Source organism: Homo sapiens, chromosome 10, assembly GCF_000001405.40.
Source record: "Homo sapiens chromosome 10, GRCh38.p14 Primary Assembly".
Taxonomy (NCBI): domain Eukaryota; kingdom Metazoa; phylum Chordata; class Mammalia; order Primates; family Hominidae; genus Homo; species Homo sapiens.
Window position 1 is genome coordinate 106,938,021 of NC_000010.11, and position 17,835 is coordinate 106,955,855.

The window sequence follows — 17,835 nt, forward strand, 5'->3', positions numbered from 1 at the left end:
TGAAGAAAATGAGGTCCAGAGAGGGCATCCTTAACCACAGCTTGGACAGATTAGGTATCCATCTCAACTCTATCTTCTTTACAAGGATAAATAATTCAGAAGAGAAGAGGATGTAGAAACTAGGGCCTGGCAGGGAGTGTCAAATCAATGAAGAAAGCAGGTCCAGGAAGTAGAGAGAAGAGGGACCAAAATTCAAAATCTCAATCTGCTCTAGTGTACAGGCCTATTTCAGGAACTTAGCACATCAAGTTGATGTTTGTCATTATACACTGGCTTGGTAGCTACACCTTGATCTTTGCCCTACTACAACGAGTCTAATAAGAAAAATGGCCTGAAGATATTTTCAGTCTGATGATATCCTGTAGAGTTTTATGTTTGGAGAGATGGGGAACATGGATGACTTAGTTCCCAAGAGCAGAAGTGGCAAATTGATGGACCTCAGGCCACCACGCTAGCTAGTATAGCTAAGCTAATCAGGACGACCATGGATACAGCCATTACAGATGCACCCTGCATCCTGCAGTCCAGACAGTAGCTGATCTCACACTATTCCTTCCTCCTTCCCACATGCTTCCTGGTGACAGGAGGAGCAATTGTATCATGTGCTTAGATGGCCCAAAGAATAAGCAGGCAGCAACCATTTGAGTAACAGTTTTGCGGTTCTGTAGATTCCATAAAACTACTCAAATAAACAAACAAAGTGGTTATTCTAAGCAGAGTCCACAAATCCCTATGTCATATCAGCATCAGAACATCAACCCCTGACTTCTGGGGAGCTGCCAAAATGGGAACTCAGAGGCCAGACCTCTATTAACAGTGCAGCACTTGGTGTCAGCAAAACTCTGACTGCTAAGGTTATTGTAGGCTGGGACATCCTGCTGCCTAGCAAAAGTATAGTCTCCATGTTGTGACATTAATTTGTTAAGTTTTGAAGAGAGAGATTATTGGGACTGTGTTTTTGTAACCCTAAAGGGAAAACGTCCCATGTAATGTAGAAGGAAGAGAATAGTGTAAATTCTGACTCGTTTTTGAGGTCAGAAGTGATAGATTCCTAATTGGGAGAAGGGCAATACCAAATTTAAGAAAAATAATCTAGGAAACTGACAGATAATGGCAAAATTAGAAAGAAAACTGACATCACAATAAATACCAATCAAGTTCCAAAGATTTCCGGACATTTCCCTTGCCCCAGCAAAGAGAATGTATTCATCAACCTGCAGGCATGGCTAATCCAAGTCTTCGATTATTTCAAAGGGTATACGTTTGGAATAATGCAATGAATATAAATTTCCCAATTAATTTGGTTTAGGATTGGAGATGGGGAAGACAAACTTGTGAAATTATCTTATTTCTTTCAAACTCAGATAGTTCACACTGGTCTGACTCAATGTTCTCATTCAAAAGGGGCGATGATGCAGGACATTCAAAGATAAATTCCTTTCAAAAGTCTTTTTAAAGTTTTGGTCCCCAGAAGTGATGGCAGAAATAAATATACATTTCTGAAAGAAAACGCAGTCCTGTGCCTTTCAGGAATTGATTGCATCTCCTGCTTCTGCAAGCTAAGAAGTCATAATCCTCTGCAATCACAGATTGTTTGAAGCCAATAAACCAAAGGTGATGACCTTGCTAATACATCCCAGCAGGAGAAAGAAATAAAGCTGTGCTGAGGAATAACTCTTCAGCACACCATTTCCCTTTGGAAGGAGGAGAAGAGCTGAAAGCACCCCAGCCTGATTTATGGAGGAGCAGTACTGTATTTCGGAAACTTCACCTGAAATAAGAAAAAGGTTTTTCTAAAGTTCTCCAGTACTATTGCTCTCATCTTCCTCATCCTACGATATAATGCCTGTTGAGCCATGGATACTCGCTTCAGTGCCACACATACCTCTGGTGGCCTTTGCTCAAAGTTGAGCCAGGTCCGTAGTGGAGACCTGTGTCCTGTTTCCTAAAGTGAACTGTCAGGAGACAGCACAAGGTGCAGCCCTTGGGACTGGGAATTCAATGCGCCAGACATTACATTTGTATTTGAACAAATGTACCTCTGCTTTAGCATTAGATAAGCTTCCAGCACTCACGAAAGCATCATTACAGACATTCAGCATAGCAGTGTCAAGCAACCTGCTGAAATTAAATTAATATCTGTCACCTCCCTCAAGTGCAATGACAATAGATTAGAGCAAAACATGACATTTGAGTAAACTATATTCTGTTAACCATTGATTACTTGTGATAACTAATATGGGACATGCTTTATATGAATTAAACCCACAGATGACACAGATAACATATTTTTAAAAAATCTCCTTTCCTCATTACATTTAACTTGGCGCTTCTTGTTACTGAACATACTACTATGCACCAAGGTCTGTACTTGGTGTTGGGTATACAAAAATGAAGAAGGTAGCATGTGTCCTTCGAAATGTTCCTGGTAAAGGTAAGAGATGAATAGAAAGTGCTTACAATTCAAACCAATACATTCAAAAGGAAAAATATGTAAAACAGAGCACATGAGCAGTAATTTATTCTCTGTGTGGCTTCTTTTTAAGAAGCCATTCATATCTATACTATTAAAAGTAGGCTTGGCTGGACATGGTGGCTCACGCCTGTAATCCCAGCACTTTGGGAGGCCAAGGTGGGTGGATCACCTGAGGTAAGGAGTTCCAGACCAACCTGGCCAACATGGTGAAACCCTATCTCAACTAAAAATACAAAAATTAACTGGGTATGGTGGCACATGGCTGTAATCCCAGCTACTCGGGAGACTGAAGCAGGAGAACTGCTTGAACCCGAGAGGTGGAGGTTTCAGTGAGCCTAAGTTGTGCCATTGCACTCCAGCCTGGGCAACAAGAACAAAACTCCATCTCAAAAAATAATAATAAAAAAAATTATTCTCTGTGTGGATAGAGATGGCTAGGGAAGGATCCCACAAAAGATGGTCCTTGTGGGGTTCAAAGCCTGGGCTCTGGAGCTCGACTGGTTCAGATCTCTTCTTTACTGCTTAGTATCTTTATGACCCTGTTCGGGTTACCTCCCTATGCCTCAGTTTCCACGTCTACAAAAAGGGTATAACGATAGTACCAATCTCATAAAAATATTTTGGGAATTTGTTAATACATATAAAGCACTTGAAGCCATGCCTGGCATATAGTAAATTGTCAGTATAAATGGCTATCAGTATTATTTTGTAGGCAAATTGAATAGAAGGGGAAAGGCATCCCCAGCAAAGACCACAGAAGTACAAGATCCAAGATTTGTGTTTGTCTGTTGGTGTTGTATTATTAATGTATGTTTAGTAGGTGATCCACACTCAACATCAGTGTCACCATAAGCCTATTAGATAAATATACTTTTTCTGATGAGGAAATGGAGCACAGAGACTTAAAAAAAAAATCTCCCCACAGTCTCAGAGCTAGTAAATGGACAGAGCCTGGATTCCTGCCCAGACAGCCCAAGGCCAAAGCCCACGTGCTGACCCATGACATGGATGGCCTTCCAAGGGCACGTGTTGCCTTGGCAGAACCTATAAGTAGTTCACCGTGGCTAGAACACACAATACCCTTCCTTTATTGAGAATTTTAGTAAGTGAAATGAACAATACCAAGGAATGTGGCTCCCAGTAGGAGAGGGATTGGAGAAGCCAAAGTAAGGTCAACTTAGACTCCAGAAAACCAAACTCTAAAAAATATATTTTTAACTATAAAAGGAAAAGAAATTTTGGAATGGGCTTCAGAGTAAGGAGCAGGGTAAAAAATGGTGACTAGCAAGAAAACCAGTATTACTTCAGCCTAATATCTGAGCGACTCACTCTGTGTTGACAATGGTATCACAGGGACTGCCGGTTGTGGTTAATCTGTAAGTCTTAGTTCTGGGAATAGACAGTTGCCTGGAGAAAATCTCCCATAACCAGGATGGAGAAGGCTGCTTAGTGTTCCCCAAAGGTGTGGAGGTGGGTTGTCACTCACAAATAACTCAGGGATGTGGGGGGAATTGACAAGTAGATCTAGTTGTTCCATATAAATGCAGAAAAATAGCAGTGCCTTCTCCTAGAGAGCTGAGTGAATTTCTTAAAAGTAGCTTTTATAAAAGGCTTTTCTGATTAACTCCACCTGCTCTGACCAGTTCCCATTCACAGAGTTCCCCGGGGACAAGACATGTTCCAAGTTTTATAATACAAAAATTCACACTCCTCTGGGTATTATTTTTTAAGTGTTCTTCAGGCTCTTAAATATGAATGGATCGAAGGTCCTACTGTTTCACTGTTTGTCCTCCTCCCACCTCCGGCTTCCCTTTCTTCTTTCTCTATTTGGTCAAGACCTCTTATCTACCACTCAAGCCCCTCAGTTCCCCAACCTCTTGTCCTTCCTCCTGGAATCATAACCAAATGCCTTCTTGTGTGTTACACAAGGCTCACTGGAACAAAAAAAGCACAGTCATGCTGACCCCAGGGTGTGGCTTCATCTGGATCTCAGCATTATTCAGCACAGTGCATGCCAGCTCCTGAGCTGTCCCTCTCCTGTCTTCTCAGTGACTCTTCCAAAATGTCAAGTCCCATCTCACGTCCATCTCCCACTCAACATACAACCAAATGGCAGGACACCCCTTAACCCACATGGCTCAGGAAAGCTGATTTGTGGGAGTCCCTATCCTGGCATCCTTGCCTCCTCTCTTGGTAAAAGGAAAGCTCCCCTCGGTCCACCCCTTGCCCTCCCTGATCTACTACGACTGGATAATTCCTCCACCTGACCTTGGATTCCATACCTTCTCTACCACTCAATTCTCTATCAGTTCTCTATCAGTTCTATTCTCCACTAATTTTTCTATATTTTCAGTCTCTTTTCACTGATTTCTCCCTGGGAAATGTAAACATGGCCAGGTTTGTTCTCACTTAAAGAAAGGAAAATGTTCCTTTAGTCTGTCACCTCCTTTCTACAAAATCACGTCTCTTCCTTTTATTTCCCTTCACAGCTCCTTCTTGAGAGAGCTGTCTTCATATCCTGTCCCTATTCCCTGACTGCTCATCCACTAGTCAGAGGTGCTCAGTGGGCATCACTAGGACAGACAGATGTACCTTCTCAGCCACCTGTTACCCAACCTTCCCTCCGGCACTTCAGCTGAGCCAATGTCTTCTGCATTGATAAATTTGGTGGCTACTTCACACATATTTTTCTTACTTAACTATCTGTGGTGTTTAATGTTCTTCTCACTTGTTCCTCTGCCTAATTTTTCTTCCAACTTTCAAGCAGCAGCAACTCCAACTCCTCCTCAGACTTCTGTATGTCTAGGAACTGGGGATCTCCTCAGTTTTTCTCTCATTTTCTTCTGCACACTCTCCCTAGGTTCCTATGAACACAGCTTCTACTGCTTGAGCTCATGCCTTCCAAATATGTCTTCACATCAGTCCTTCTGCCTGGACTCCAAGGCCATGTATACTTTAATTATCTGAAAATTTCCATTTGAGTTGTCTAACTCTATCTCAACCTCAATCTGTTAAAAAATAAATTAATAGGCCAGGTGCAGTGGCTCACACCTGTAATCCCAGCGCTTTGGGAGGCCGAGGTGGCCGGATCATGAGGTCAGGAGATCAAGACCATCCCGGCTAACACTGTGAAACCCCATCTCTACTAAAAATACAAAAAAAAAATAGCCGGGCATGGTGGCAGGTGCCTGTAGTCCCAGCTACTCGGGAGGCTGAGGCAGGAGAATGGCGTGAACCCGGGAGGCAGAGCTTGCAGTGAGCCGAGATCGTGCCACTGGACTCCAGCCTAGGCAACAGAGTGAGACTCCATCTCAAAAAATTAATTAATTAATTAATTGTCTCTTCACCTCATCCCCATCTCCCATTCCAAAATTGTCTTCCTCCGTCTTCTCCTAGAAAATAATCTCACCATCCTCTGGAATGTCCAAGACAAAAGTGAGAAAGTCATTGCAGATATGTTTCTCCCTTTCACCTTCTAACTCACCCAACAACTGGTCCTGTGCTTCTTTCCCTTACAAAATCTATTAAAATCACCCCCACACTCTATATGTCATACTCCATTTTTCCACTCTCTAAAAAGGTTGGCCCCTTCTCATCTCTTACTTCTTGTTTCACTGACTACTTTGTTCATGGTCACCAGTTTTGTTCTTTGCCAGGTGAATCCATAACATGACACCAAGGTAATTTTTTGTGTGTGAAATTCATATCTCATCAACCCTTTTACTTGCCCCAGACCTTTCAAAGATGCATTAGTTCCTCTGGGATAAATGTCAGAATACTTAGCACAGAACTGACCAATTGCACACACAGACTGTATTGTGATTTAGTGCAATTTCCTCAATAAGCCATGCTGCCAGCACCTAGAGGCGCCTGAAATATGGGATGTACTCACTAAATAATCAGCCTCCCTTACTAGTCTAATTCCTACTCCTTCTTTGGATTCAGTTCAGGTCTCTTCTCCTCCAGAAAGCTCTTCCTTCCCCACCCAGAGAACCTATGGTACTTCTACTATGGCACTTGACATACTGACATAATCTCTCATGTATTTATCTGTCTCCCCAACAGGCTGCAAATTACTTAAGGACAACAATATGATCTTCTTTGTATCTGGATTTATACCAGTTAGCATGGATCTATGTATGTACGTATTTATACATTCAATTAATTTGCCAAATTTCACCTGAATACCTTTGTGCCAGGCAATTTCCTGGACACAGAAAATAAGACAGACAAGGTCTCTGCCCTCAGCGAGTTTATATTTTAATGGTGGCATCAGACAATAGAGAAGTAATGAATAAAATCATTCTAGATCATGACACATGTAGTGAATGAAAGAAACAAAGAGAGCTATGGTAGAAAGAAGCAAGAAAGAGCCTTCTTTTTTTTTTTTTTTTTTTTTTTTTTTTGGAGATGGAGTCTCGCTCTGTCACTCAGGCTGACATGCAGTGATGTGATCTTGGCTCACTGCAACCTCTGGCTCCCGGGTTCAAGCAATTCTCCTGCCTCAAACTCCCGAGAGGCTGGGATTACAGGCATGAGCCACCACACCCAGCTAATTTTTTTGTATTTTTAGTAGAGACAAGGTTTCACCATGTTGGCCAGGCTGGTCTTGAACTCCTAGCCTCAAGTGATCTACCTGCCTCGGCCTCCCAAAGTGCTGGGATTACAGGTGTGAGCCACCATGTCCAGCCAAGCCTACTTTTAATAGTATAGATACGAATGGCTTCTTAAAAAGAAGTTGGTATTTGGATTATGACCTGAAAAATATGGAGGATCTGGTCATGCTGAAAGAATAAAGAGACTTTGTGTTCCTAGAAGGTATGAAATTGTGTTCTGAGGATCTTCTGACTTTCTTTGTGCCCAATACAGGACACTATACTCAAATAGCACTTAATTTTCATTGTTTGATTGCTTATTAAGCTTAAATTTTGACATAAAAGGACAATCCAAAACAGTAAATACATAGGAAAGCCTTCTGAGGAACTATGAGGATGTGGAAGGTAACTGGATGGTGGTGATCTGTATCTCAAGGGACTTCACAGATGTAGAATTTTACCACGTGGTGTTCATACCAATGTACTAAAATGGGAATTAATATTCTAAATGCTTCCTGAATCTATAACCAGGTTTGATATCAGAATGTCAGTTGCTTTGCTTTCTCTAGTAAAATTTTTTGCCTTTGCTTTCTCAGCTTATATTGGCAAAGTTATTAGGACCTCAGGACAGTGTTTGCTTTCTGTGTATTTCATCTATTACTTGCTAAAAGGAAAAGTGGGGAACTCAGCAGGGTGTCAATCACTGAGGCAAACAAGGAGAGCAGGGGTGCAAGCTGAGGCCAGACTCTCACAGATGGTCTCACACATCTCAGGAAGGTCTATAGCATCTTTTGGATGAATACATGCAGATCCTTATAGAACGAGCTTTCACATGGTGAGTTCTAAGATTTTGTTAAAATCAAGGGGGCTGAACAGGAATGCCTAGAGCTCTGTGGAAATAACAGATTCCTGCCTTGAATCTCTGGGCTTTTCCCACTTGGCACTGGTTATGCTCTTCTTCTTTGACAGCAATGTCATGGAATTTCTCGAGGTCACGTAGCACATTATTCAGAACTGTATCACCTACACATAAGGCAGTAGGTTAAAAATTTAGGATAGAAACAAGTGTATGACATAGGCCTGGCTTTCAGTGACACTAAATCATTTCATAACATACTCTTCAAAGCAAAAAGCATTTAATGATACTTAATAAGACCAGTTCTATTTTGGGTATGAACCAAATGAAAATAAGACATGGTCATAGTCTTTGGATTTCCAGGTTAGTATGTGATATGGTTTGGCTGTGTCCCTACCCAAATCTTGTCTTGAATTGTAGCCCCCATAATTCCCACATATCAAGGGAAGGATTTGGTGGGAGGTAATTGAATCATGGGAGCGGGTCTTCCCCCATACTATTTTCATGTTAGTGTGTAAGTCTCACGAGATCTGATGGTTTTATAAATGGGAGTTCCCTGCACAAACTCTCTCGCCTGTTGCCATGTAAGACGTGGCTTTGCTCTTCCATCATTTTACACCATGACTGTGGGGCCTCCCCAGCACTGTGGAACTGTGAGTCAATTAAACCTCTTTCCTTTATAAATTACCCAGTATCAGGTATGTCTTTATTAGCAGCACGGGAACAGACTAATAATACAGTATGGAAACAGACAAACATCACAATAACTTATGCATACATTTTACCCTGCATTTAGCACACTTCTGTAACTATCCACTGAAAGTCTGCTCTTAACTAGATTTGGGGTTTCTGTAGGACAGGAACAATTATTTACTTATATGCTTATTCCCACTGACTATCTAGTACACTGCTTGGCATGGCATACAGGTAGGTCTAAGAGATGTTTGTTGAACAAAATAAATATACATCTGATAACCATTATAAGTCAAAGATACATAATTCACTACAAGATTAATGAGAAAGAAGCAATTATTTTTGCCTGAGGAGTGAGGGAGAAAGAGAGAGGTCCACAGTGCCACAGTCCAATACACATATGAAAAGATGATCACCATCACTTGTGGTCAGGAAAATACCCATTAAAATACACTGAGATCAAGACATCACTTTCATCCAAAATACTGATTTAAAAGTTACGTATTGAAAATTCCAGTCCTGATGAAAGCCTGGGGAAATCTGCAAACTATTATTGCTTGCACGTGTATGATTTGTTGCAACCTTCTTGGAATGTAATCTCGAGTATCATTTACAATACAAATGCATTCATTTTTGATACAACAATATCATCTTAAGAATTCTATTGTACTTTATAAAGGTAAAATTACCAAAGTAAAAGGATATGTTTACAGATATGTTTATCGGAGCACTGTGTGTAGTAACAACTCTTGACGAAATGAACTAAAGATCTATCGGAAAGGTAATGGAGAAGCAGTGTAGCACAGGCATTCAGAGAATAGTCAGGAGCCAGCTCTGTCTGACTAGCTGGCTGTCAGACCATTAAGCATGCTACTAAATCTTTCTAAGTCTTACTTCTCTCATCTAGAAACTGGAGCTACAGGCTGGGCGCGGTGGCTCACGCCTGTAATCCCAGCACTTTGGGAGGCCAAGGTGGGCAGATCACCTGAGGTCAGGAGTTCAAGACTAGCCTGGCCAACATGGTGAAACCCTGTCTCTACTAAAAATACAAAAAAATTAGCCGGGCCTGGTGGCAGGCACCTGCAATCCCAGCTACTCAAGAGATTGAGGCAGGAGAATTGCTTGAACCAGAGAGAGGCAGAGGTTGCAGTGAGCCGAGAACATGCCATCACTCTTCACAAGAGTGAAACTCCATCTCAAAAAAAAAAAAGAGAAAAAGAAACTAGAGCTACAAACAGTACCTATTTTATGGGGTTGTTAAAAGGATAAAAGAACTGAAAACACTTCTTGGTATGTAGGAAGCAATACATAAGTTAATTAAGCATGCAGTTGTTTAATTCGATATACTGTACAATATGCATACTCTGGGATGCTTACAAGCCTGGCCCATTTTTTTCAATGCATTCATCTGGATAGACACCCAAGAGTCATTGGTAAGTGAAATAAATCAGGTTGTCATAATCCAGTGAATAGTATACTTCTATTTTCTTAAACAAATGAAAAAGTAGACCTATGGTATGTATATATCTGTTGACACTTTTTAGTTGAGTCACAAAGATATGAAGAGAAAAAAAACAATAACTCACCACTACAGATATCAGGAAAGCTGAATCTAGGTGGTATGTAAGAAACTATTTACAGTTTTTTGAAAAAAAAAAAATGTATCTGTGTTTTTTCTGGCTCATTGTAATGAGCATACATTACTTTTGTGATTTTTTTTAAAAAAACATAGTTTAGTAAAATAAATGTAGGCAGGGTAGAGTGGCTCACGTCTGTAATCCCAGTGCTTTAGGAGGCTGAGTTAAGGGGACTGCTTGAAGCCAGGGGTCCAAGACCAGTCTGGGCAACAAGGTGAGGCCCCATCTCTACAAAAAAATTTAAAAATTAATCTGGCACAGTGGTGTGTACCTGTAGTACCAGTTACTTGGGAGGCTGAGGCTGGAGGACTGCTTGTGGCTGCAGTGAGCTATGATTATTCCACTGCCTCAGTGACAGAGCAAGACCCTGTTTCTTAAAAAAAAAAAAAAATTAACTGTAGGCCGGGCGCAGTGCCTCACGCCTGTAATCCCAGCACTTTGGGAGGCTGAGACAGGCAGATCACAAGGTCAGGAGATTGAGACCATCCTGGCTAACATGGTGAAACCGCGTCTCTACTAAAAATACAAAAAAAATTAGCTGGGCGTGGTGGCAGGCGCCTGTAGTCCCAGCTACTCTGGAGGCTGAGGCAGGAGAATGGCATGAACCTGGGAGGCGGAGCTTGCAGTAAGCTGAGATCACGCCACTGCACTTCAACCTAGGAGACAGAGAAAGACTCTGTATCCAAAAAAAAAAAGAATTTTAATTGTGTAAGTTCAGGAACCACAACCAGCTCCAAGTGACACAAATATGGAATGGGAGTTACAAAACACAAAAGAATCTAGAATCCAAAAAGCCACAATCCAGAACACCTCCGGATCCTGCCTGAACGCTTGACTAGCTCCCTTAGACTCTGGAGAGGTACTAAACATTTGTACGCACAGGTGTGAACAGCATCATTAAATCTGTGTGACATGAAGGATTCTCTTGCCTGGAAGTTATCACACTCTGGTTTTATTATTATTATTTTTTCTTTTTAGGATGTGCATATAGCCTTGTGTTTGTAGCAGAGTGAAAACTGGATTTGGTAGCAAAACATCTTTCAAAGCAGGGACTAACAATCTGACCCAAGCCACCCACTGCTCTTCCCCTGGACGTGGCGTGGAGGAGAAGGGAGGCGTTGGGACTCACTCACAGGGCTTGCAGAGGGCTAACAAACACACAGGTGAGTTCCCTCCAGCCTGAACCTAGGGAGTTCTCCAGAGAGCACAGGCTGCCCTCATCCCTACACAGCCTCTGACTCAAGGCCATTATTCACAAACACTACTGGGGAACTTCTCTTGATAATCATGATGCGTAATGGCCACGAAATTGTGTCTCCTGAGAAAATGGGACAGGGCTGGCTACCAATACAGAATCACATCAAAAGCCTAACACATTCTCTCTCCTTAAATTGCACTTGCTTTGTGCCCCTCCAAAAGCAGGTTTTGCTGTTTGAGAAGTACATACTTCTGGAGACCTACTTAGAAGCCTGCTTGTGTCCCATGTGGATCTGAGAACAGGACACTGAATTTGAGAAGTCAGCCATGTCAGGCAACCTCTAAGATAGACAGACACTGCAGGTTGTGTGCTGCTTTAAGAGAGTAGACTTCCAGCTCCTTCCAGAATTGCCTAGGGCTTTCTCACCAGCTAAGCCTCTCTCAACAGAGTACTGATTGCCCTAGTATAACAGGGAAAAAAAAGATGAATATATTTCTTCTCAGAAGTACCATATTCTAGATTTTGACAATTTATCTATCTCAACCTTTAAGCTTATCTTGTACCAATATGATAAAACCACCACGCTCTCCAATTCTCAAAGCTTAATCCACTATAAAGTGAAGACAATTTTAAGGTGCAGTGAATTGTTCTGCATCAAATCATCCCCCTTTCCTCTCATTTTGACTCCCTGAGTGAAGAACAACACAAAACGAAACAAAAATCACCAACTTGCTCCAAGATTAATGTGTAATCAATGACAAGACCAACCGGGAGCAAAAGCTCATTAATTTGGTACAGTGACATCTCGTTCTGTCTTGCCTGGTTTGTTGATATCCAGCAAGGCTTACAGCCCTAGGACATCACTATAAGGTCAACAGCCTCTTGGCCTCTTGACTACCCTACCACCTCAAGGGCATTTGCCAGTTGCCCCTTTCTGACTCTTCAGCTGCTAAAACTTGTAAAGAATAAGGGCTCAATTGAAAAGTGCACGTATCTACTTGTTGGACAAGAAGCCATTTCTCTGTCACCCAGTATTTTTCAGGAGTAAGGCAATTGCTGCTCAGAATGTTACAGCACGTAGAAAACCCTATTCACTCTGTATATGGTGTTTGTACGTGTGTGTGTCTGTGTGTGTATATATATACACACAATACATATATAGATATTATATAATAATATACACATATATTTCTATAAAATATCCTGTTGCTTGTTTGGGTATAGAAAGATCCACCAGAAGGCAGAGCTCTGGAAGACAGATAAGCAATGAACGTATGGAGTTCAGTAACATGTCTGTAAGTCTATAGGCTACTACTTGCTAATTGTGCGACCTTGGGCACACCATAAAAATGAATTAAGAGGATGTAATAACACATGTCTAACACTCAGCATCATGCCAGACACACAGTGAATACCCAATAAAGGTTTCCAGTATTGTCATTATTACCATTATCATTATTATCACTAAACGAGCAAGGTGTTGGGTTCAAGGACTCAAAGATGAGTTACGAAGAGAAAATATCCACATGAGGAAAGTAAAGAAGCAACACTTATCTCATATTTTTATTACAACACTTATGGTTGTGTGAAAGTCTATTTACATTATATCTGTCTTATTCTGGGATCTGGCATTTCCGGGCGGCTGCTTCAATAACTTATTCAATACAATTACATAAGGAGGGATACATGCAAGTGTATTTCCCTCTCACCTTGACTGTCCACAGATCTTTGTCCCCCTCTAAAAAGGAACATCTGGCCGGGCACGGTGGTTAACGCCTGTAATCCCAGCACTTTGGGAGGCCGAGGTGGGTGGATCACGAGGTCAGGAGATCGAGACCATCCTGGCTAACATGGTGAAACCCCGTCTCTACTAAAAATACAAAAATTAGCCAGGCATGGTGGCGGGCATCTGTAGTCTCAGCTACTAGGGAGGCTGAAGCAAGAGAATGGCGGGTGAACCCAGGAGGCAGAGCTTGCAGTGAGCCGAGATCACGCCACTGCACTCCAGCCTGGGTGACAGAGCAAGACTCCGTCTCTGAAAAAAAAAAAAAAAAACGGAACACCTGGAGGACAGAGCCTATCTGCTGTTGATCTAGGTACACACACACCTTCCCCTCACTGGACCAGATCATTCCAAGGCATAAAGGAGTTAATCAATACAACACTGTTGAATAAATAAAAGAAATAAAATACAATATAATAAAATTATCTTTGGATGACCATGAAGTCTGTTGTGCTCACTGCTCTGTTTAAAAACACAGTTACTGAGCACTAGCTATATGCTAAGTCTTGTACTTGGGGCCATGGGTACCTTGCAGATGTCTAAGACTTGCCTGAGGTCATAGTCCCCAATTTTTGGCATAGGCAGGTTTTCTGAGCATAAAGTACTGAAACCTCCCCAATAGTCCCATAGACACTTCTTTTGGATAAAAATAGGAATTGGCCCTTCCTGTCTTAAAGCTTGAAACTTAACATTTGTTTCATCTGAGTTCCCTCCTCAGGAAAGGCCCTGGAAGCCTCTCAAAAAGTATCAAAGAAGTAAAACTCACTAGCTCATTGCATTCAGACAATGAGATGCCAGGCCTCTCATTTTATCTCCTTACCCTTCCCTAGTTCCTGTTTTCCAACACAGTTACATTTCTTCCCTGCTATGTTAAACCCCTAACTTTAGTGAGTCAGGGAGATGGATTTGAGACTCATCTCCCATCTCCTCAGCTCTAGCACCCGGTTAAAGCCTTCTTCCTTGGCAATAATAGTTGTCTCAGTGATTGGCTTTCTGTGCAGTGACCAGAAGGGCTGAGATTGGATCCCTGGTGTTTTGGTAACAGTATGAGCTGGTGCAGGAGAAAGTCAGTTTGTGCTAGGCCACCTAGTTTCCCTCAAGCAAGGCTGTGCTAGACAACTCAGAACCATAAGGCTTTCTCTTCCTGAGCCCTGTCCTCTACCCACCCAGGCCTGTCCCACTCCTCCTCTGTATTAACATACCTATGGAGGTTTCCTAAACTCTTGAGTACGGGCACTGTGAGCTGTTCAAAAGTCCTACCGAGGTTTCATATATGACACATTATATATTATATTATATTATATTATATTATATTATACTATGTTATATTATATATTATAATATGAAGTATTATACATATTTTTCCACCTTATTCTCTGTTTTCTAAATTACATTTTCAGTAAGGTATGTGTCATTCCTATTAAAGTACTAAAATGACCAGGCGTGGTGGCTCATGCTTGTAATCCTGAGAGTTTGGGAGGCTGAGGTGGGAGGGTTACTTGAACCCAGGAGCTCAAAACCAGTTTGAGTAACAAAGTGGGACCCTGTCTCTATCAAAATAATAATAATAAAAAATTAGCCTAGGGTAGTCGCAAATATTTGTAGTCCCAGCTACTTGGGAGGCTAAGGTGGGAAGATCACTTTTATCTGGGTGTTTGAGGCTGTAGTAAGCTGTGATCATGCCACTGCACTCCAGCCTGGGTGACAGGGTGAGATTCTGTCTCAAATACTACTACTACTACTAATAATAATAATAATTTAAAATAAATAAAATTACCAGTTTCTAATATATCACATACCTGAAGTAGTCACACCAGTATATGACATATGGCAAATGACTATTAGGCGTATATTTTAGAAATATATTATGTATCTGTGGGTATAGTGTGTGTGTGTGTGTGTGTGTGTGTGTGTGTGCATGCGTGTGTGTATACGCATGGTCATCTCTCAGTACCTGGAGGGGATTTTTTCCAGAATCCCCCATGAATACTAAAATCCGCAGATGCTCAAATTCCTGATAGAAGATGGTGTAGTAGTTGCATATGACTTACTGACCTTCTCCTTGGTATATTTAAAATCATTCCCAGATTACTTGTAACACCAAATAAAATATAAATATTATGTAAATAATTGCTATACTGTATTTTTTTACTTGTATTGGTGATAGTGTTGTGTTGTTTTTAAATTTTTTTCCCCCAACAGTTTTGATCCAAGATGGGTTGAATTAACAGATCTAAAACCCACAGATAGGGAAGGCTGACTATATGTATATATATATAGTCATGTATCACTTAATGAGGTGGATGAATTCGGAGAAACATGACCTTAGGTGAGTTTCTCATTGTGTGAACATAATACAGTATACTTACACAAACCTCGAAGGTATAGCATACTACTTATGTAGGCATAAGGTACACCCTATTGTTCCAAGACTGCAAATCCATACAGCATGTTACTGTGTTGAACACTGTGGGCAATTGTAACATCATGGTATTTGTGTATCTAAATATGTCTAAACAAAAGAGATACAGGAAAAATACAGTATAATTTTATGGGACCACTATTGTATATGGTGTCATTGACTGAAATGGCATTACGCAGTGCATGACAGTATGCATCCTTCAGTGAAATTCATCTTAAGATTGAGAAGCCAGCAGGTCATTCGCGCCACACTTTCCCAGATTTCACCCAAGTAGACTGCTCCTTCAGAAGGGAAGCCTGATACTAATGGGATGTGATGCCATTTTTTAAATTAACCCTTTCCACTAAGTTTGAAAAGGACATTCTTCTTAGACTGGGCCATCAGTAACAATGCCCCTTCATGGAGAGAAAAGCATACTGAACCTGAGCTTCCACAGTCTAGGGCAACCTGCTCCTCAGGCCCTGCAGGCATGTTCTTTCCACTGTGCAGGTGGAGAGTTATGACTGCGTAAGCCTCTGTCCCAGTGAGACAAAACTGCATTATCTATTAAATTTCTAATATGCAGACTATACTTTATATGGAAAATGCACTGCAGAAAAAAATGCTGGCTTTTACTCTTATACATGGAGATCCATTAGAGAAATCTATCAGGGAAGTATGAAGTTGCTCAGAGTCACAGAGATTCTGATGAAGGGTTACAGAATTGAAGCAATATAGTAGGTGCGGGCTCCTTAATGCACAAAAAATTATACTTTTATTAAGTCCCCTACCAAACTTCCCACACTTTCAGTTACATCCCTGTAACCAGGGACTATATCCAGAACTGGAAGCTTAGTTTTCAGGCTTCAGGCTGTCTTGTGGCTTGAAGGTTGGGTTTCATTGGGGGCTTGTCCCTATCTGCCTAGGAATTTGTTGGCCTTCTACTACTATCACAATAATTTTTCAAATGAATAGGTACAAATCCCTTAGCGTAGAGGAGCTCCTTGAATACCAGCATGACTGGGCAGTTGGGCTACCATGGGTCTAAAATCATGGATGGGAAGCTCCTCCGAGACCCAATATGTTTTTCTCTTTCTACCTACGGCCTGCACCTCCCCCATTTTGAGCCTATAAAAACCCTGCCCTCAGCCACACGTTGGGACTACCCGCCTTCTGGTAGGGACTACCCACTTTGGGTCTCCTCTCCACTGAGAGCTGTTCCGTCACTCAATAAAACTCTTCTTGGATGCAGGACAAGAACCTGGGACCCACCCAACAGCGAGTGAGAAAGGAGCTGTAATACTGTAGCCTTCCTGTCCTCTGTTGGCGCCAGGCAGCTGCCCCACACAACGGGAAGTAGCAGTGGCGCTGGGCCAGCCTAGGAGGCATGGGCTAGAGCAGAGCAGTGGGACTGAACGAGCTGTAACACGAATGAGGTGAAACCCACCCCCACCCTGTTTGCTGCACTGTGGCTGGTGGGAAGGAGAGAAGAGCTATGACCCTTCTGGGGGCCTAGACCTCGGCTCCCCAAGCCAGGGCTGTGTTATGCTGTAACACCCCCTTTGCAGTTCCATGATTGCTGGTGTCCCCGAGTTTTTAAGGCGCCACCGCATTCCCCTCGTCCAGACACCAGCGCCCAAGGCGGAGGCCCCTTGTCATACACCTGGTCCAGCCACAGCCTTGCACAGAGCCAATGCTGGAGCTGCCCACCCCATCACAGCAGCTGGCGCACCTGGCTTGCCCTTGGCAGGCATGAGATATCAACCAGTAGTATGAGCTGAGTGCAGCCTGATGGGCTAAGTGGGCAGAGCAAGCCCTGTGGGCACAAGCAAAACTCAAGCAGAGGCACTGCCGGCTGTGGAGGTCTCTGGCTGGCGAAGAGGCACTGAAAAAATCCTGTATCATTTCCATACTCTATATGTGTGAAGCAATACAGTGTGAATCCCAAAGATAAGGGTGTGCATGAGTGTGGGTATGCATGCCTGTGCTGCTGGTGAGCTGCAGGACCACCATGGAAGGGAAGTTAGTAAAGGAATGTTGCCCTGGGCCAGGCGCGGTGGCTCATGCCTGTAATCCCAGCATTTTGGGATGCTGAGGCCAGCCGGCAGATCACCTGAGGTCGGAAGTTCAAGATCAGCCTCACCAACATGGAGAAACCACGTCTCTACCAAATATACAAAAAAATTAGCCAGGCGT

General features: G+C 42.2%; 1 protein-coding gene across 16 annotated transcripts in view, besides 1 other annotated feature; it reads right to left on the reverse strand.

Moving 5' to 3' along the window:
- SORCS1 (sortilin related VPS10 domain containing receptor 1) overlaps window positions 1-17,835 on the reverse strand; it is a 607,476-nt gene that overhangs the window by 364,358 nt on the left and 225,283 nt on the right. The window lies entirely within an intron of this gene.
- Window positions 3,720-4,919: an enhancer, noted in NCBI's record as "P300/CBP strongly-dependent group 1 enhancer chr10:108701498-108702697 (GRCh37/hg19 assembly coordinates)". NCBI's record gives its function as "activates an origin of replication core promoter dependent on BRD2, BRD4, P300/CBP, MED14 and CDK7 cofactors, with strong dependence on P300/CBP, by STARR-seq in HCT116 cells {active_cell/tissue: HCT116}" and the evidence as "EXISTENCE:reporter gene assay evidence [ECO:0000049][PMID:35650434]".